Source organism: Homo sapiens, chromosome 16 (assembly GCF_000001405.40).
Source record: "Homo sapiens chromosome 16, GRCh38.p14 Primary Assembly".
In the NCBI taxonomy this organism is placed as follows: Eukaryota; Metazoa; Chordata; class Mammalia; order Primates; family Hominidae; genus Homo; species Homo sapiens.
In genome coordinates, this window is record NC_000016.10 from 34,202,796 (window position 1) to 34,223,641 (window position 20,846).

General features: G+C 37.8%; 2 annotated features.

Moving 5' to 3' along the window:
* Positions 16,041-16,874: an enhancer, noted in NCBI's record as "OCT4-NANOG-H3K27ac hESC enhancer chr16:34021303-34022136 (GRCh37/hg19 assembly coordinates)". NCBI's record gives its function as "activates a minimal SCP1, AML or CMV promoter by ChIP-STARR-seq in primed H9 embryonic stem cells {active_cell/tissue: H9 hESC(primed)}" and the evidence as "EXISTENCE:reporter gene assay evidence [ECO:0000049][PMID:30033119]".
* Positions 16,875-17,707: an enhancer, noted in NCBI's record as "OCT4-NANOG-H3K27ac hESC enhancer chr16:34022137-34022969 (GRCh37/hg19 assembly coordinates)". NCBI's record gives its function as "activates a minimal SCP1, AML or CMV promoter by ChIP-STARR-seq in primed H9 embryonic stem cells {active_cell/tissue: H9 hESC(primed)}" and the evidence as "EXISTENCE:reporter gene assay evidence [ECO:0000049][PMID:30033119]".

The following is a 20,846-nucleotide window of genomic DNA, read 5'->3' on the forward strand; positions in this document are numbered from 1 at the left end:
CTGTGTAGTTTTTATGTGAAGATATTTCCTTTTCAAAAATAGGCCGCAAAGGGATCCAAATATCCTGTTACATATTCAGCAGAAACAGAAATTCAAAACTGTCCAATCAAACGACAGGCTCAACTCTGTGAGTTGAGTGCACACATCACAAACAAGGTTCTCAGAATGCTTCTGTGTAGTTTTTATGTGAAGATATTTCCTTTTCCACAATAGGCCTCAAAGTGCTGCAAATATCCCCTTGCAGATTCTACAGAAAGTGTGTTTCCAAACTGCTCAATAAAATGAAAGACTCAACTCTGTGAGATGAATTCACATATCACAAAGAAGTTTCTCAGAATGCTTCTGTGTAGTTTTTATGTGAAGATATTTCCTTTTCCATCATAAGCCACAAAGGGCTCCATGTATCCACTTGAAGATGCTACAAAAAGAGAGTTTCAAAACTGCTCAATCAAAAGATAGGTTCAAATTTGTGAGTTGAATGCACACATCACAATGAAGTATCTCGGAATTCTTCTGTGTAGTTTTTATCTCAAGACGTTTCCTTTTCCACAATAGGTGTCAGATTGTTCCCAATATCCACTTGCAGATTCCACAAAAAGAGGGTTTCAAAAGTGCACAATCAAAAGAGAGGTTCAACTCTGTGAGATGAATTCACACATCACAAAGAAGTTTCTTAGAATGCTTCTGTGTACTTTTTATGTGAAGATATTTCCTTCTCCACCATAGGCCTCAAAGGGCTCCAATTATCCACTTGCAGATTCTTCAAAAACAGTGTTTCAAAGCTGATCCATCAAAAGAAAGGCTCAACTCTGTGAGATGAATGCACACATCATATAGAAGATTCTCAGAATGCTTCTGTGTAGTTTTTATGTGAAGATATTGCCTTTTCCAGCATAGGCCTCAAATCGCTGAAAATATCCACTTGCAGATTCTAGAAAAAGAGTGTTTCCAAACTGCTCAATGAAAACAAAGGTTCTACTCTGTGGGAGGAATGCACACATTGCAAAGAAGTTTCTCTGAATACTTCTGTGTAGTTTTTTTGTGAATATATTTCCTTTTCTACCATAGGCATTAAAGCGCTCCAAATATCCACTTGAAGATTCTACAAAAAGAGTATTTCCAAACTGCTTAATCAAAAGAAAAATTCAGCTCTGTGAGATGAATGCACACATCACAAAAAAGATTCTGAGAACGTTTCTGTGTAGTTTTTATGTGAAGATATTTCCTTTTCCACCATAGGCTTCAAAGCACTCCAAATATCCACTTGCAGATTCTACAAAAAGAGAGTTTCAAAATTTCTCTATCAAAGTAGTGATTCAACGCAGTGAGTTGAATGCACACATTACAAAGAAGTTTCTCAGAATGCTTCTGTGTAGTTTTTATGTGAAGATATTTCCTTCACCACCAGAGGCCTGAAAGCGCTCCAAATATCTAAGTTGCAGTTTCTACAAAAGAGTGTTTCAAAACTGCTCAATCAAAAGAAAGTTTCAACTCTTTGAGATGAATGCACACATCACTAAGAAGTTTCTCAGAATTCTTCTGTGTAGTTTTTGTGTGAAGATATTTCCTTTTCCACCACAGGCCGCAAGGGGCTCCAAATAAGCACTTTCAGACTGTACAAAAAGAGAGTTTCCAAACTGCTCTATCAAAAGAAAGGGTCAACTCTGCGAGTTGAATGCACACATAACAAAAGTTTCTCAGAATGCTTCTGTGTAGTTTTTGTGTGAAGATATTTCCTTTTCCACCATAGGCCTCAAAGTGCTTCAAATATCCACTGGCAGATTCTACAAAAAAGAGTGTTGCAAAACTGCTCAATCAAAAGAAATATTCAACTCTGTGAGACGAATCCACACATCACGAAGAAGTTTCTCAGAATTCTTCTGTGTAGTTTTTATCAGAAGATATTTCTTTTACCAGAAAAGGCCTCCAAGATTTCCGAATATCCACTTGCAGATTCTACTAAAAGACTGTTTCCAAACTGCTCAATCAAAAGAACGGTTCAACTCTGTGAGATGAATGCACAAATCACAAGTAAGTTTCTGAGAATGCTTCCGTGTAGTTTTTATGTGAAGATATTTCCTTTTCCACCATAAGCCTCAATGCACTTCAAATATCCACTTACAGATTCTAAAAAAGGCAGTTTCAAAACTGTTCAATCAAACGAAAGTTTCAACTCTGTGAGATGAATGCACAAATCACAAAGAAGTTTCTCAGAATGCTTCAGTGTAGTTTTTAGGGGAGGAGATTTCCTTTTCCACAATTGGCCAAAAAAAGCTCCAAATAACCACTTGCACAGACTGCAAAAAGCGAGTTGCAAAACTGCTCTATCAAAAGATATGTTCAACTCTGCGAGTTGAATGCAAACATCACAAAGAAGTTTCTCAGAATGTTTTTGTGTAGTTTTTATGTGAAGATAGTTCCTTTTCCACCATAGGCCTCTAAGTGCTCCACATATCCACTTGTAGATTCTACAATGAGTGTTTCAAAACTGCTCAATAAAAAGAAAGATTCAACTCTGTGAGATGAATGCACACATCACAAAGAAGTTTCTCAGAATCCTTCTCTGTAGTTTTTATGTGAAGATATTTCCTTTTCCACAATAGGCCTCCAAGGGCTCCAAATATCCACTTGCAGATTCTACTAAAAGAGTGTTTCCAAACTGCTCAATCAAAAGAAAGGTTCAACTCCATGAGATGAATGTGCACATCACAAAGAAGTTTCTGAGAATGCTTCTGTGTAGTTTTTATGGGAAGATATTAAATTTTTCACAATAGGCCTGAAAGCGCTGCAAATATCCACTTGCAGATTCTAGAAAAAGAGTGTTTCAAAACTGCTCAATCATATGAAATGTTCAACTCTGTGAGATGAATGCACACATCACAAAGAAGTTTCACAGAATACTTCTGTGTAGTTTTTATGTGAAGATACTTCCTTTTCCACCATAGGCTGCAAAGGGTTCCAAATATCCACTTACCAATTCTACAAAAAGACGGTTTCGTAACTGCTCTATCAAAAGATAGGTTCAACCCTGTGAGATGACTGTACACATCACAAAGAAGTTTCTCAGAATGCTTCTGTGTAGTTTTTATGTGAAGATATTTCCTTTTCTTCCTTAGGCCTCAAAGCACTACAAATATCCACTTGCAGATTCTACAAAAAGAATGTTTCAAAACTGCTCAATCAAAGAAAGGTACAACTCTATGAGATGAATGCACGCATCACAAAGAAGTTTCTCAGAACGCTTCTGTGTAGGTTTTATGTGAAGAAATTTCCCTTTCCGCAATAGGCCTCAAAGCGCTCCATATATCCACTTGCCGATTCTACAAAAAGAGTTTTTCCAAACTACTCAATGAAAAGAGAGGTTCACCTCTGTGAGATAAATGCACACATCACAAAGCAGATTCCCACAATGCTTTTGTGTAGTTTTTATGTGAAGATATTTCCTTTTCCACCATTGGCCTCAAAGGGCTCCAAATGGCCACTTGCAGATTCTATAAAAAGAGTGTTTCAAAACTGCTCAATCAAATGTAATGTTCAACTCTGTGAGAAGAATGCACACATCACAAGGAAGTTTCTCAGAATACTTCTGTGTAGTTTTTATAGTAAGATATTTCCTTTTTCACCATCTGTCACAAAAGGCTCCAAATAATCACTTGCAGATTCAACAAAAAGAGAGTTTCAAAACTCTTCTATGAAAACATAGGTTCAACTCTGTGAGTTGAATGCACACATCACAAAGCAGTTTCTCAGAATGCTTCTGTGTAGTTTTTATGTGAACATATTTACTTTTCCACCATAGCCCTCAAAGGGCTGCAAATATCCACTTGCAGATTCTGCAAAAAGTGTGATTCAAAACTGCTCAGTAAAAAGAATGTTTCAACTCTGTGAGATGAATGCACACTTCACAAAGGAGTTTCTCAGCATGCTTCTGTTGTGTTTTTCTGTGAAGTCACATCCTTTTCCACCATAGTGATCCATGTGCTCCAAATACCCACTTGCAGATTCTACAAAAAGCGGGTTTCAAAACTGGTCAATCAAAAGAAAGTTTCAACTCTGTGAGATGAATGCACACATCAAAAAGAAGTTTCTCAGAATGCTTCTGTCTTGTTTTTATGTGAAGATATTTCCTTTTCCACCATAGTCCTCAAACCTCTCCAAATATTCATTTGCAGATACCACAAAAACACGGTTTTCAAACTGTGCAATCAAAAGAAAAGTTCAACTCTGTGAGTTAAATGCACACAACACAAATAACTTTCTCAGAATGCTTCTGTGTAGTTTTTAGATAAAGATATATCCTTTTCCACAATAGGCCTCAAAGCGCTCCAAATATCCACTTCCAGATTCTACAAAAAGAGTGTTTCAAAACTGTTCAATCAAAAGAAAGTTTCATCTCTGTGAAATGAATGCACACATCACACAGAAGTTTCTCAGAATGTTTCTGCTAGATTTTATGTGAAGATATTTCTTTTTCCACCATAGGCTGCAAAGCACTCCAAATATCCAATTGCAGCTTCTACAAAAAGAGTGTTTCAAAACTGCTGAATCAAAAGTAAGGTTCAACTCTGTTAGTTGAATACACACATGACAAGGAAGTTTCTCAGAATACTTCTATGTATTTTTTAGACGAAGTTATTCCCTTTTCCACCATAGGCCCCTAATTGCTTCAAATATCCACTAGCAGATAATACAAAAAGTGTGTTTCAAAACTGCTGAATCAAAAGTAAGATTCAGCTCTGTTAGTTGAATACACACATGACAAGGAAGTTTCTCAGAATACGTCTATGTATTTTTTAGATGAAGTTATTCCCTTTTCCACCATAGGCCCCTAATTGCTTCAAATATCCACTAGCAGATTATACAAAAAGTGTGTTTCAAAACTGCTCTATCAAAAGAAAGGTTGAAGCCTGGGAGTTCAATGCACACATCACAAAGAAGTTTCTCAGAATGCTTCTTTCTTGTATTTATGTGAAGACATTTCCTTTTCCACCATAGGCCTGAAACTGCTCATAATATCCATTTGCAGAAACAACAAAAAGAGTGTTTCAAAACTGCTGCCTCTAAAGAAATATTCAGCTCGGTGAACTGAATGCACACATCACAAAGAAGTTTCTCAGAATGCTTCTGTCTAGTTTTTATGTGTAGATATTTAGTTTTACACCATAGGCCTCAAATGGTTCCAAATATCCACTTGCAGATCCTACAAAAAGACGGTTTCCAAACTGCTCAAGCAAAAGAGAGCTTCGAATCGGTCAGTTGAACGCACACATCACAAAGAAGTTTCTCAGAATGCTTCTGTCTAGTTTTTTTGTGAAGATATTTCCTTTTCCACCATAGGCCTCAAAATGCTCCAAATATACACTTGCAGATTCTACAAAAGGTGTGTTTCAAAACTGCTAAATCGAAAGAAAGGTTCAACCCTGTGAGATGATTGCTCACATCACAAAGAAGTTTCTCAGAATGCTTCTGTCTAGTTCTTTCGTGAAGATATTTTCTTTTCTACCATGGGCCTCAAAGCGCTCAAAATATCCACTTGCAGATTGTACAGAAAGCCTGTTTCCAAACTGCTCAATCAAAAGAAAGGTTCAACTCTGTGAGTTGAATGCACACATCATGAAGTAGCTTCTCAGAATGCTTCTGTCAAGTTTTTATGTGAAGATTTTTTTAAAACTGTAGGCATCAAAGTGCTCCAAATATCAACATGCAGATAGTACAAAAAGAGAATTTCCAAACGGCTGAATTATAAGAGAGGTTGAATTCTGTGAGTTTAATGCACACATCACAAAGAAGTTTCTGAGAATGCTTCAGTCTAGTTTTTATGTGAAGATATTTCCTTTTCCACCATAGGCCTCAAAGCACTCCAAATATGCACTCGCAGATTCTACAAAAAGAGTGTTTGAAAACTGCTCAATTAAAATAAAGGTTCAAATCTGTTAGATGAATGCACACATCACAAAGAAGTTTCTCAGAAAACTTCTGTCTAGTTTGTATGTGAAAACATTTCCTTTTCCACTAGAAGTCATAAACTGTTGCAATTATCCAATTGCAGATTCTACAAAAATAGTGTTTCATAACTGCTTAGTCAAAAGAAAGGTTCAACTCCGTTATTAGAATGCATACATCAAAAAGAAGTTTCTAAGAATGCTTCTTTCTAGTTTTTTTGTGAAGATATTTCCTTTTCCAAATTAGGCCACAAATCCCTTCAAATATCCACATGCAGATACTACAAAAAGAGTGTTTCAAAACTGCTCAAGCCAAAGAAAGGTTCTACTGTGGGAGATGAATGCACACATCACAAAGTAGTTTCTCAGAATGCCTCTGTTTAATTTTTATGTGAAGATATTTCCTTTTCCACCATAGGCTGCAAAGGGCTGAAAATATTCACTTGCAGATTCTACAAAAAGAGAGTTTCAAAACTACTCTATCAAAATATAGGTTCAACTCTGTGAGTTGCATGCACACATCACGAAGAAGTTTCTCAGAATGCTTCTGTGAAGTTTTTATGTAAAGATATTTCCTTTTCCACCATAGGCTGTAAAGGACTCCAAATATCCACTTGCAGATTCTACAAAAAAAGAGTTTCAAAACTGCTCTGTCAAAAGATATGTTCAACTCTTCGAGTTGAATGTGCACATCACAAAGAAGTTTCTCAGAATGCTTCTGTGTAGTTTTTATGTGAAGATATGTCCTTTTCCCCCATAGGCCACAAATGGCTCCAAATATCCCCTTGCATATTCTACAAAATAGAGTTTCAAAACTGCTCTATGAAAAGATAGGTTGAACTCTGTGAGTTGAATGCACACATCACAAAACGTTTCTGAGAATGCTTCTGTGTAGTTTTTATGTGAAGATATTTCCTTTTCCACAATTGGCCTCAAACTACTCCAAATATCCATTTGCGCATCCTACAAAAAGAGGGTTTCAAAACTGCTCTATCAAAAGATAGGTTCAACCCTGTGAGTTGAATGGACACATCACAAAGAAGTTTCTCAGAATGCTTTGGTGTAGTTTTTATGTAAAGATATTTCCTTTTCCATCATAGGCCTCAAAGCGCTCCAAATATCCACATGCAGATTCTAGAAAAAGAGTGTTTCCAAACTACTCCATCAAAAGAAAGTTTCAACTCTGTTAGATGAATGCACACATCACAAAGAAGTTTCTCAGAATGCCTCTGGGTAGTTTTTATGTGAAGATATTTCCTTTTCCAACATAGGCCACAAAGGGCTACAAATACCCACTTGCAGATTCTACAAAAAGAGAGTTTCAAAACTGCCCTATCAAAAGATAGGTTCAACCCTGTGAGTTGAATGCACACATCACAAAGAAGTTTCTGAGAAAGTCCCCGTGTAGTTTTTATGTGAAGATATTTCCTTTTCGACCATAGGCCACAAAGCGCTCCAAACATCCACTTGCCGAATATACAAACAGAGTGTTTCAAAATTGCTAAATCAAAAGAAAGGTTCATCTCTGTGAGATGAAGGCACACATCACAAAGAAGTTTCTCAGAATGCTTGTGTATAGTTTTTATGTGAAAATATTTCCTTTTCCACAATAGGCCTCAACGGGCTCCAAAACTCCACTTGCAGATTCTATAAGAAGAGAATTTCAAAACTGCTCTATCAAAGATAGGTTCAACTATGTTAGTTGAATGCACACATCACAAAGAAGTTTCTGAGAATGATGTTGTGTAGTTTTTATGTGAAGATATTTCCTTTTCCACCATAGCCCTCAAAGCACTCCAAATATCCACTTGCAGACTCTGCAAAGGAGTGTTTCCAAACTTCTAAATAAAAAGAAACGTTCACCTCAGTGGGATCAATGCACACATCACAAAGAAGCTTCTCAGAATGCTTCTTTGAAGTTTTAATGTGAAGATATCTCCTTTTCCACCATAGGCCACCAAGGGCTCCAAATATCCACTTGCAGATTATACAAAAAGAGAGTATGAAAACCGCTCTATCAAAAGATAGTTTCAACTCTGCGAGTTGAATGTACACATCACAAAGAAGTTTCTCAGAATGCTTCTGTGTAGTTTTTATGTTAAGATATTTCCTTTTCCACCATAGGCCTCAAAGCGCTCCAAATATCCACTTGCAGATTCTACAAAAAGAGAGTTTCAAAAGTGCTCTATCAAAAGAAATTTTCAAATATGTGAGATGAATGCAAGTATCACAAAGAAGTTTCTCAAATTTTTCTGTGTAGTTTTTATGTGAAGATATTTCCTTTTCCACAATAGGCCTCAAAAGGCTCCAAGTATCCACACACAGATTCTACAAAAAGAGTGTTTCCAAAATGCTCATTCAAAAGAAAGGTTGAAGTCTGAGATGAATACACACATCACAAAGAAGTTTCTGAGAATGCCTCTATGTAGTTTTTATATGAAGATATTTCCTTTTGCACAATAGGCCTCAAAGTGATCCAAATATCCACTGGCAGTTTCTAGAAAATGAGTGTTCCAAAACTGATAAATCAAATGAAATGTTTAACTCTGTGAGATAAATGCACACATCAAAAAGAAGTTTCCCAGAATGCTTCTGTGTAGTTTTTATTGGAAGATATTTCCTTTTCCATTATGGGCTGCAAAGGCCTCCAAATATCCCCTTGCAGATCCTACAAAAAGAGAGTTCCAAAACTGCTCTATCGAAAGAAAGGTTCAACTATGTGAGATGAATGCACACATGAAAAGGAAGTCTATCAGAATGCTTCTGTGTAGTTTTTATGTTAAGATATTTCCTTTTGCAACATAAGCCACAAAGGTCTCCAAATCTCTGCTTGCATATACTAGAAAAAGAGTTTTTCCAAACTGCTCAATCAAAAGAAAGCTTCATATCTGTGAGATGAATGCACACATCACAAAGAAGTTTCTCAGAATGCTTCTGTGTAGTTTTTATGTGAAGATATTTCCTTTCCATCGCAGGCCCAAAGCGCTCCAAATATCCATTTGCAGATTCTACAAAAAGTGTGTTTCAAACCTGCTCAACCAAAAGAAATGTTCAACTCTGTGAGATGAATGCACACATCACAAAAAAGTTTCTGAGAATGCTTCTGTGTGGTTTTATGTGAAGATATGTCTTTTTCAAAAACAGGCCTCAAAGCACTCCCAATATCCACTTGCAGATTCTACAAAAAGAGTGTTTCCAAACTACTCAATTAAAAGAAAAGTTCAACTCTGTGAGATGAATGCACACGTTGCAAAGGCGGTTCCTAGAATGTTTCTGTGTAGTTTTTCTTGGACGATATTTCGTTTTCCACCATAGGCCACAAAGGTTTCCAAACATCCACTTGTACATTCTACAAAAAGAGAGTTTAAAATATGCTTTATCAAAAGATAAGTTCAACTCTGTGAGTTGAATGCACACATCACAAAGAAGTTTCTCAGAATGCTTCTTTGTAGTTTTTAGGTGAAGATATTTCCTTTTCCATGCAGGCCTCAAAGCGCTCCAAATACCCAGTTGTAGATACTACGAAAGGATTGTTTCAAAATTGGTGAATCAAAAGAAATGTTCAACTCTGTGAGATGAATGCACACATCACAAAGGAGTTTCTCAGAATGATTCTGTGTAGTTTTTATGTGGAGATATTTCCTTTTCCACAATAGGCCTCAAAGAGCTCCATATATCCACTTGCAGATTCTACAAAAATTGTGTTTCAAAACTGCTCAATCAAATGAAAGGTTCAGCTCTGTGAGATGAATGAACATATCACAAAGAAGTTTCTCCGAATGCTTCTGTTTAGTTTTTATGGGAAGATATTTCCTTTTCCACCATAGGAGGCAAAGGACTGCAAATATCCACTTGCAGATTCTACAAATAGAGAGTTTCAAAACTGCTCTATGAAAAGATAAGTTCAACTCTGTGAGTTGAATGCACACATCACAAAGTAGTTTCTCAGATTGCTTCTGTGTAGTTTTTATGTGAACATATTTCCTTTTCCACCAAAGGGCTAAAAGGGCTCCAAATATCCACTTGCAGATTCTACAAATAGAGAGTTTCAAAACTGCTCAATCAAAAGATAGGTTCAACTCTGTGAGTTGAATGCACACATCACAAATTTGTTTCTCAGAAGGCTTCTGTGTAGTTTTTATGTGAAGATATTTCGCTTTCCACCATAGGCCTGAAAGTGATCCAAATATACTCTGGCAGATTCTGCAAAAACTGTTTCCAAACTGCTCAATCAAAAGAAAGGTTCAACTCTGTGAGATGAAACCGTCCATTGCAAAGAAGTTTCTCCGAATGTTTCTGTGTAGTTTCTATGGGAAAATATTTCCTTTTCTGCCATCTGCCTCAAAGGGCCCCAAATATCCACTTGTGGATTCTACAAAAAGAGTGTTTCCAAACTGCTCAATCAAAGCAACGGTTCAACTCAGTGAGATGAATGCACACATCACAAAGAAGTCTCTCAGAAGGCGTCTGTGTAGTTTTTATATGAAGATATTTACTTTTCCACAATAAGCCTCAAAGCACTCCAAATATGCACTTGCAGATTTTACAAAAAGAGTGTTTAAAGATGGCTTAATCAAAAGAAAGCTTCAACTCTGTGAGATGAATGCACACATCACAAAGAAGTTTCTCAGGATGTTTCTTTCTAGTTTTTATTGGAAGATATTTCCTTTTCCAACATAGGCCACAAAGGGCTTCAAATATCCACTTGCGGATTCTACAAAAAGAGAGTATGCAAACTGCTGATTCAAAACAAAGGTTCAACTCCGTGCAATGAATGCACTCATCACAAAGAAGTTTCTGAGAATGCTTCTGTGTAGTTTTTATGTGAAGATATTTCCTTTTCCACAATAGGCGTCAAAGCACTCCAAATATGCACTTGCAGATTCTACAAAAAGAGTGTTTCAAAACTGCTCCATCAAATGGAAGGTTCAACCCTGTGAGATGAATGCACACATCACAAAGTAGTTTCTCAGAATGCTTCTGTGTACCTTTTATGTGAAGATATTTCCTTTTCCACCATAGGCTGCAAAGGGCTCCAAATATCCACTTGCAGATTCGACAAAAAGTGGGTTTTAAAACTGCTCTATCAAAAGATAGGTTCAACTGTGTGAGTAGCATGCAAACATCACAAAGAAGTTTCTCAGAATGCTTATGTGTAGTTTTTATGTGAATATATTTCCTTTTCCATCACAGGTCTCAAAGTGCTGCAAATATCCACTTGCAGATTCTACAAAAAGAGTGTTTCCAAACTGCTCAATCAAAATTAAGGTTCAACTCTGTGAGATGAAAGCACACATCACAAAGAAGCTTCTCGAAATGCTTCTGTGTAGTTTCTTTGGGAAGATGTTTCCTTTTCCATCATCTGACACAAAGAGCTCCAAATATCCAATTGCAGATTCTAAAAGACGGCAGCTTCAAAACTGCTCTATCAAAAGATAGGTTGAACTCAGCGTGTTGAATACACACTTCACAAAGAAGTTTCTCAGAATGCTTCTGTGTAGTTTCTATGTAAAGATATTTCCTTTGCCACCATAGGCCTCAAAGTGCTCCAAAAATCCACTTGCAGATTCTAAAAAGAGAGTGTTTCTTTTCTGTTTCCATATGAACTTTAAAGTAGTTTTTTCCAATTCTGTGAAGAAAGGCATTGGTAGCTTGATGGGGATGGCATTGAATCTGTAAATTACCTTGGGCAGTATGGCCATTTTCAAGATATTGATTCTTCCTACACATGACCATGGAATGTTCTTCCATTTGTTTGTATCCTCTTTTATTTCCTTGAGCAGTGGTTTGTAGTTCTCCTTGAAGAGGTCCTTCACATCCCTTGTAAGTTGGATTCCTAGGTATTTTATTCTCTTTGAAGCAATTGTGAATGGGAGTTCACTCATAATTTGGCTCTCTGTTTGTCCGTTGTTTGTGTATAAGAATGCTTGTGATTTTTGTACATTGATTTTGTATCCTGAGACTTTGCTGAAGTTGCTTATCAGCTTAAGGAGATTTTGGGCTGAGATAATGGGATTTTCTAGATATACAATCATGTCGTCTGCAAACAGGGACAATTTGACTTCCTCTTTTCCTAATTGAATACCCTTTATTTCCTTCTCCTGCCTAATTGCCTTGGCCAGAACTTCCAACACTATGTTGAATAGGAGTGGGGAGAGAGGGTATCCCTGTCTTGTGCCACTTTTCAAAGGGAGTGCTTCCAGTTTTTGCCCATTCAGTATGATATTGGCTGTGGGTTTGTCATAGATAGCTCTTATTATTTTGAAATACGTCCCATCAATACCTAATTTATTGAGAGTTTTTAGCATGAAGGGTTGTTGAATTTTGTCAAAGGCTTTTTCTGCGTCTGTTGAGATAATCATGTGGTTTTTGTCTTTGGCTCTGTTTATATGGTGGATTACATTTATTGATTTTTGTATATTGAACCAGCCTTGCATCCCAGGGATGAAGCCCAGTTGATCATGGTGGGTAAGCTTTTTGATGTGCTGCTGGATTCGTTTTGCCAGTATTTTATTGAGGATTTTTGCGTCAATGTTCATCAAGGATATTGGTCTAAAATTCTCTTTTTTTGTTTTGTCTCTGCCTGGCTTTGGTATCAGAATGATGCTGGTCTCATAAAATGAGTTAGGGGGGATTCCCTCTTTTCTATTGATTGGAATAGTTTCAGAAGGAATGGTACCATTCCTCCTTGTACCTCTGGTAGAATTCTGCTGTGAATCCATCTGGTCCTGGACTCTTTTTGGTTGGTAAACTATTGATTATTGCCACAATTTCAGATCCTGTTATTGGTCTATTCAGAGATTCAACTTCTTCCTGGTTTAGTCTTGGGAGAGTGTATGTGTCCAGGAATTTATCCATTTCTTCTAGATTTTCCAGTTTATTTGCATAGAGCTGTTTGTAGTATTCTCTGATGGTAGTTTGTATTTCTGTGGGATCAGTGGTGATATCCCCTTTATCATTTTTATTGTGTCTATTTGATTCTTCTCTCTTTTTTTCTTTGTTAGTCTTGCTAGCGGTCTATCAATTTTGTTGATCCTTTCAAAAAACCAGCTCCTGGATTCATTAATTTTTTGAAGGGTTTTTTGTGTCTCTATTTCCTTCAGTTCTGCTCTGATTTTAGTTATTTCTTGCCTTCTGCTAGCTTTTGAATGTGTTTGCTCTTGCTTTTCTAGTTCTTTTAATTGTGATGTTAGAGTGTCAATTTTGGATCTTTCCTGCTTTCTCTTGTGGGCATTTAGTGCTATAAATTTCCCTCTACACACTGCTTTGAATGCGTCCCAGAGATTCTGGTATGTTGTGTCTTTGTTCTCATTGGTTTCAAAGAACATCTTTATTTCTGCCTTCATTTTGTTATGTACCCAGTAGTCATTCAGGAGCAGGTTGTTCAGTTTCCATGTAGTTGAGCGGTTTTGAGTGAGATTCTTAATCCTGAGTTCTAGTTTGATTGCACTGTGGTCTGAGAGATAGTTTGTTATAATTTCTGTTCTTTTACATTTGCTGAGGAGAGCTTTATTTCCAAGTATGTGGTCAATTTTGGAATAAGTGTGGTGTGGTGCTGAAAAAAAATGTATATTCTGTTGATTTGGGGTGGAGAGTTCTGTAGATGTCTATTAGGTCCGCTTGGTGCAGAGCTGAGTTCAATTCCTGGGTATCCTTGTTGACTTTCTGTCTCCTTGATCTGTCTAATGTTGACAGTGGGGTGTTAAAGTCTACCATTATTAATGTGTGGGAGTCTAAGTCTCTTTGTAGGTCACTCAGGACTTGCTTTATGAATCTGTGTGCTCCTGTATTGGGTGCATATATATTTAGGATAGTTAGCTCTTCTTGTTGAATTGATCCCTTTACCATTATGTAATGGCCTTCTTTGTCTCTTTTGATCTTTGTTGGTTGAAAGTCTGTTTTATCAGAGACTAGGATTGCAACCCCTGCCTTTTTTTGTTTTCCATTTCTTGGTAGATCTTCCTCCATCCTTTTATTTTGAGCCTATGTGTGTCTCTGCCCATGAGATGGGTTTCCTGAATACAGCACACTGATGGGTCTTGACTCTTTATCCAATTTGCCAGTCTGTGTCTTTTAATTGGAGCATTTAGTCCATTTACATTGAAAGCAAACACACATAATATTGTTATGTGTGAATTTGATCCTGTCATTATGATGTTAGCTGGTGATTTTGCTCGTTAGTTGATGCAGTTTCTTCCTAGTCTCGATGGTCTTTACATTTTGGCATGATTTTGCAGTGGCTGGTACCGGTTTTTCCTTTCCATGTTTAGTGCTTCCTTCAGGAGCTCTTTTAGGGTAGGCCTGGTGGTGACAAAATCTTTCAGCATTTGCTTGTCTGTAAAGTATTTTATTTCTCCTTCACTTATGAAGCTTAGTTTGGCTGGATATGAAATTCTGGGTTGAAAATTCTTTTCTTTAAGAATGTTGAATATTGGCCCCCACTCTCTTCTGGCTTGTTTGGTTTCTGCCAAGAGATCCGCTGTTAGTCTGATGGGCTTCCCTTTGAGGGTAACCCAACCTTTCTCTCTGGCTGCCCTTAACATTTTTTCCTTCATTTCAACTTTGGTGAATCTGACAATTATGTGTCTTGGAGTTGCTCTTCTTGAGGAGTATCTTTGTGGCATTCTCTGTATTTCCTGAATCTGAACGTTGGCCTACCTTGCTAGATTGGGGAAGTTCTCCTGGATAATATCCTGCAGAGTGTTTTCCAACTTGGTTCCATTCTCCCCATCACTTTCAGGTACACCAATCAGACGTAGATTTGGTCTTTTCACATAGTCCCATATTTCTTGGAGGCTTTGCTCATTTCTTTTTATTCTTTTTTCTCTAAACTTCCCATCTCGCTTCATTTCATTCATTTCATCTTCCATTGCTGATACCCTTTCTTCCAGTTGATCACATCGGCTCCTGAGGCTTCTGCATTCTTCACATAGTTCTCGAGCCTTGGTTTTCAGCTCCATCAGCTCCTTTAAGCACTTCTCTGTGTTGGTTATTCTAGTTACACATTCTTCTAAATATTTCTCAAAGTTTTCGACTTCTTTGCCTTTGGTTTGAATGTCCTCCTGTAGCTCAGAGTAATTTGATCATCTGAAGCCTTCTTCTCTCAGCTCGTCAAAGTCATTCTCCATCAAGCTTCATTCCATTGCTGGTGAGGAACTGCGTTCCTTTGGAGGAGGAGAGGCACTCTGCGTTTTAGAGTTTCCTGTTTTTCTATTCTGTTTTTTCCCCATCTTTGTGGTTTCATCTACTTTTGGTCTTTGATGATGGTGATGTACAGATAGGTTTTTGGTGTGGATGACCTTTCTGTTTGTTAGTTTTCCTTCTAACAGACAGGACCCTCAGCTGCAGGTCTGTTGGAATACTCTGCCATGTGAGGTGTCAGTGTGCCCCTGCTGGGGGGTGTCTCCCAGTTAGGTTGCTCGGGGGTCAGGGGTCAGGGACCCACTTGAGGAGGCAGTCTGCCCATTCTCAGATCTCCAGCTGCATGCTGGGGGAACCACTGCTCTCTTCAAATCTGTCAGACAGGGACATTTAAGTCTGCAGAGGTTACTGCTGTCTTTTTGTTTGTCTGTGCCCTGCCCCCAGAGGTGGAGCCTACAGAGGGAGGCAGGACTCCTTGAGCTGTGGTGGGCTCCACCCATTTCGAGCTTCCAGGCTGCTTTGTTTACCTAAGCAAGGCTGGGCAATGGCGGGCGCCCCTCCCCCAGCCTCGCTGCCGCCTTGCAGTTTGATCGCAGACTGCTGTGCTAGCAATCAGTGAGACTCCATGTATGTAGGGCCCTCCGAGCCAGGTACAGCATATAATCTCATGGTGCGCCATTTTTTAAGCCGGTCCGAAAAGCGCAATATTCAGGTTGGAGTGACCCGAATTTCCAGGTGCGTCCATCACCCCTTTCTTTGACTCGGAAAGGGAACTCCCTGACCCCTTGTGCTTCCCAAGTGAGTCAATGCCTTACCCTGCTTTGGCTCGTGCAAGGTGCGTGCACCCACTGACCTGCACCCACTGTCTGGCACTCCCTAGTGAGATGAACCTGGTACCTCAGATGGAAATGCAGAAATCACCCGTCCTCTGCGTCTCTCATGCTGGGAGCTGTAGACCGGAGCTGTTCCTATTTGGCCATCTTGGCTCCTTCCCCCCGAGACACACTTTTTGTAGTATCTGGAAGTGGACAGTTGGTGTGCTTTGAGGCCTACTGTGAAAAAGGAAATATCTTCACATGAAAACTAGACAGAAGCATTCTCAGAAACTAATTTATGATATGTGTACTCAACTCACAGTGTTCAACCTTTCTTTTGATACAGCAGTTTTGAAACACTCTTTTTGTGGAATCTGTAAGTGGATATTTGGATAGCTTTGAGGATTTCGTTGGAAACGGGAATATCTTCACATAAAAACTAGACAGAACCATTCTCAGAAACTTCTTTGAGATGCTTGCATTCAACTCACAGAGTTGAACATTCCTTTCCATAGAGCTGTTTTGAAACACTCTTTTTGTTGAATCTGTAAGTGGAAAATTGGAGCGCTTTGAAGCCTGTGGTGAAAAAGGATATATCTCCCCATAAAAACTAGATAGAAGAATTCTCAGAAACTTCTTTGTGATGTGTGTTCTCAACTCACAGAGTTGAGCTTTTCTTTTGATAGGGCAGTTTTGAAACACTCTTTTTGTAGAGTCTGCAAGTGGATATTTGTATAGCTTTGAGGATTTCGTTGGAAACGGGAATATCTTCACATAAAAACTAGATAGAAACATTCTCAGGAACTTCTTTATGATGTTTACTTTCAACACACAGGGTTGTATATTCCGTTTCATAGGGCAGTTTTGAAACACTCTTTTTCTACTATCCCGAAGTGGACATTTGGAGCGCATTGAGGCCTATGGTGAAAAAGGGAATATCTTCACATAAAAACTAGACAGAAGCATTCTCAGAAACTTCTTTGTGATGTGTGTACTTAACTCACAGAGTTGAACATTTCTTTTGATACAGCAGTTTTGAAACTCTCTTTTTGTAGAATCTGCAAGTTGATATTTGGATAGCTTTGAGGCTTTCGTTGGAAACGGGAATATCTTCACATAAAAACTAGACAGAAGCATTCTCAGAAACTTCTTTGTGATGCTTGCATTCAATTCACAGAGTTGAACATTCGTTTTCATAGAGCAGTTTTGAAACACTGTTTTTGAAGCAACTGTAAGTGGAAATTTTATCACTTTGAGGTCTATGGTGAAAAAGAAATATCTTCCCATAAGAACTAGACAGAAGAATTCTCAGAAACTTCTTTGTGAAGTGTGTACTCCACTCACAGAGTTGAACTTCTCCTTTGATAGAGCAGTTTTGAAACACTCTTTTTGTAGAGTCTGCAAGTGGCTATTTGAATAGCTTTCAGGATTTCGTTGGAAACGGGAATATCTTCACATAAAAACTAGACAGAAGCAATCTCAGGACCTTCTTTATGATGTTTGCTTTCAACTCACAGAGCTGAACATTCCCTTTCATAGGGCAGTTTTGAAACACTCTTTCTGAACTATCTGGAAGTGGACATTTGGAGCGCTTTGAGGCCTATGGTGAAAAAGTAAATATCTTCACATAAAAACTAGACAGAAGCATTCTCAGAAACTTCTTTCTGATGTGTTTACTCAACTCACAGAGTTGAACATTTCTTTTCATACAGCGGTTTCGAAACTCTCTTTTTGTAGAATCTGCAAGTTGATATTTGTATAGTTTTGAGGCTTTCATTGGAAACGGGAATATCTTCACATAAAAACTAGACAGAAGCATTCTCAGAGACTTCTTTGTGATGCTTCCATTCAACAAATAGAGTTCAACAGTCCTTTTCACAGAGCAGTTTTGAAACACTCTTTTTGAAGAATCTGTAAGTGGAAAATTTAGAGTTTTGAGGCCTATGGTGAAAAAGAAATGTCTTCCCGTAAAAATTAGACAGAAGAATTCTCAGAAACTTCTTTGTGATGTGCGTACCCACTAACAGAGTTGAACTTTTCCTTTGATGAGCAGTTTTGAAACACACTTTTTGCAGAGTCTGCTAGTGGATATTTGGATAGCTTTGAGGATTTCGTTGGAAACGGGAATATCTTCACATAAAAACTAGACAGAAGCATTCTCAGAAACTTCTACGTGATGTTTGCCTTCAAATCACAGAGTTGAACATTCTCTATCATAGAACAGTTTTGAAACACTCTTTTTGTAGTATCTGGAAGTGGACATTTGGAGTGCTTTGAGGCCTATGGTGAAAAAGGAAATATCTTCACATAAAAACTAGACAGAAGCATTCTCAGAAACTACTTTTTGATGTGTGTACTCAAGTCACACTGTTGAACCTTTCTTTTGATAGAGCAGTTTTGAGACACTCTTTTTGTAGAATCTGCAAGTGGATATTTGGATAGCATTGAGGCTTTCGTTGGAAACGGGAATATCTTCACATAAAAACTAGACAGAAGCATTCTCAGAAACTTCTTTGTGATGCCTGCATTGAAATCACAGATTTGAACATTCCTTTTAATAGAGCACCTCTGAAACTCACTTTTTGTAGAATCTGTAAGTGGAAACTTGGAGAGATTTTAGAACTATGGTGAAAAAGGAAATATCTTCCCATAAATACTAGAGAGAAGAATTCTCACAAACTTCTTTGTCATGTGTGTTCTCATCTCACAGAGTTGAGCTTTTCTTTTGATAGAGCAGTTTTGAAACACTTTTTGTAGAGTCTGCAAGTGGATATTTGTGTAGCTTTGAGGATTTCGTTGGAAACGAGAATACCTTCACAAAAAAACCAGACAGAAGCATTCTCAGGAACTTCTTTATGATGTTTGCTTTCACGTCAAGGAGTTGAACATTCCATTTCATAGGGCAGTTTTGAAACACTCTTTTTCTACTATCTGGATGTGGACATTTGGAGCGTTTTGAGGCTTATGGTGAAAAAGGAATTATCTTCACATAAAAACTAGACAGAAGCATTCTCAGGAACTTCATTGTGATGTGTGTACTCAACTCTCAGGGTTGAACATTTCTTTTGATACAGCGGTTTTGAAACTCTCTTTTTGTAGAATCTGCAAGTTGATATTTGGATGACTTTGAGGCTTTCGTTGGAAACGGGAATATCTTCACATAAAAACTAGACAGAAGCATTCTCTGAAACTTCTTTGTGATGTTTTGATTCAATTCACAGAGTTGAACATGCCCTTATATAGAGCAGTTCTAAAACACTCTTTTTGTAGTATCTGGAAGGGGACAATTAGTGCGATTTTGGGCCTACGGTGAAAAACGAAATATCTTCACGTAATAACTAGGCAGAAGCATTCTCAGAAACTTCTTTGTGATGTGTGTACTCAACTGACGGAGTTGAACCTTTCATTGATGCAGTAGTTTTGGAACACTCTTTTTGTAGTATCTGCAAGTGGATATTTTGTTAGCTTTGAGACTTTCGTTGGAAACGGGAATATCTTACATAAAAACTAGACAGAAGCATTCTCAGAAACTTCTTTGTGATGCTTGCATTCACCTCTCAGATTTCAACATTCCTTTTAGTAGAGCAGCTTTGAAACACTCTTTTATAGAATCTGTAAGTGGAAACTTGGAGAGCTTTGAGACCTATGGTGAAAAAGGAAATATCTTCCCATAAAAACTAGACAGAAGCATTCTCAGAAACTACTTTGTGATGTGTGTACTCAACTCACAGAGTTGAACATTTCTCTTGATACAGCAGTTTTGAAACATTATTTTTGTAGAATTTTCAACTGGATATTTGGATAGCCTTGAGGCTTTCATTAGAAATGGGAATATCTTCACATAAAAGCTAGATGGAAGCATTCTCAGAAACTTCTTTGGGATGCTTGCATTCAACTCACAGATTTGAACATTTCTTTTAATAGAGCAGCTTTGAAACACTCTTTTTTAGAATCTGTAAATGGAAACTTGGAGAGCTTTGAGACCTATGGTGAAAAAGGAAATATCTTCCCATAAAAACTGGACAGAAGCATTCTCAGAAACTTCTTTGTGAAGTGTGTTCTCAACTCACAGAATTGAGCTTTTCTTTTGATAGAGCAGTTTTGAAACACTCTTTTTGTAGAGTCTGCAGGTGGATATTTGGATAGCTTTGAGGATTTCTTTGGAAACAGGAATATCTTCACATAAAAACTAGGCAGAAGCATTCTCAGGAACTTCTTTATGTTGTTTGCTTTCAACTCACATAGTTGAACATGCCCTTTCATAGAGCAGTTCTGAAACACTCTTTTTGTAGTATCTGGAAGGGGACAATTGTTGCGCTTTCGGGCCTATGCTGAAAAAGGAAATATCTTCACATAAAAACTAGGCAGAAGCATTCTCAGAAACTTCTTTGTGATGCTTGCATTCAACTCACAGAGATGAACATTCCTTTTAATAGAGCAGCTTTGAAACACTCTTTTTATAGTATCTGTAAGTGGAAACTTGGAGAATTTTGAGACCTATGGTGAAAAAGGAAATATCTTCCCATAAATCCAGACAGAAGAATTCTCAGAAACTTCTTTGTGATTTGTGTACTCAACTCACAGAGTTGATCCTTTCTTTTGTTACAGCAGTTTTGAAACTCTTTTGTGGAATCTGCTGGTGGATATTTTGAGAGCTTTGAGGTTAAGTTGGAAACGGGAATATCTTCACAAAAATACTAGACAGAAGCATTCTCAGAAACTTCTTTTTGGTTCTTGCATTCAACTCACAGCTTTGAAGACTCCTTTCCATGGAGCAGTTTTGAAACACTCTTTTTGTAGAATCTCTAATAGGAAAATTGGAGAGCTTTGAGGCCTATGGTGAAAAAATAAATATCTTACCATACAAACTTGACAGAAGAATTCTCAGAATCTTCTTTGAGATGTGTATACTCAACTCACAGAGTTGAACTTTTTTTTTAACAGAGCA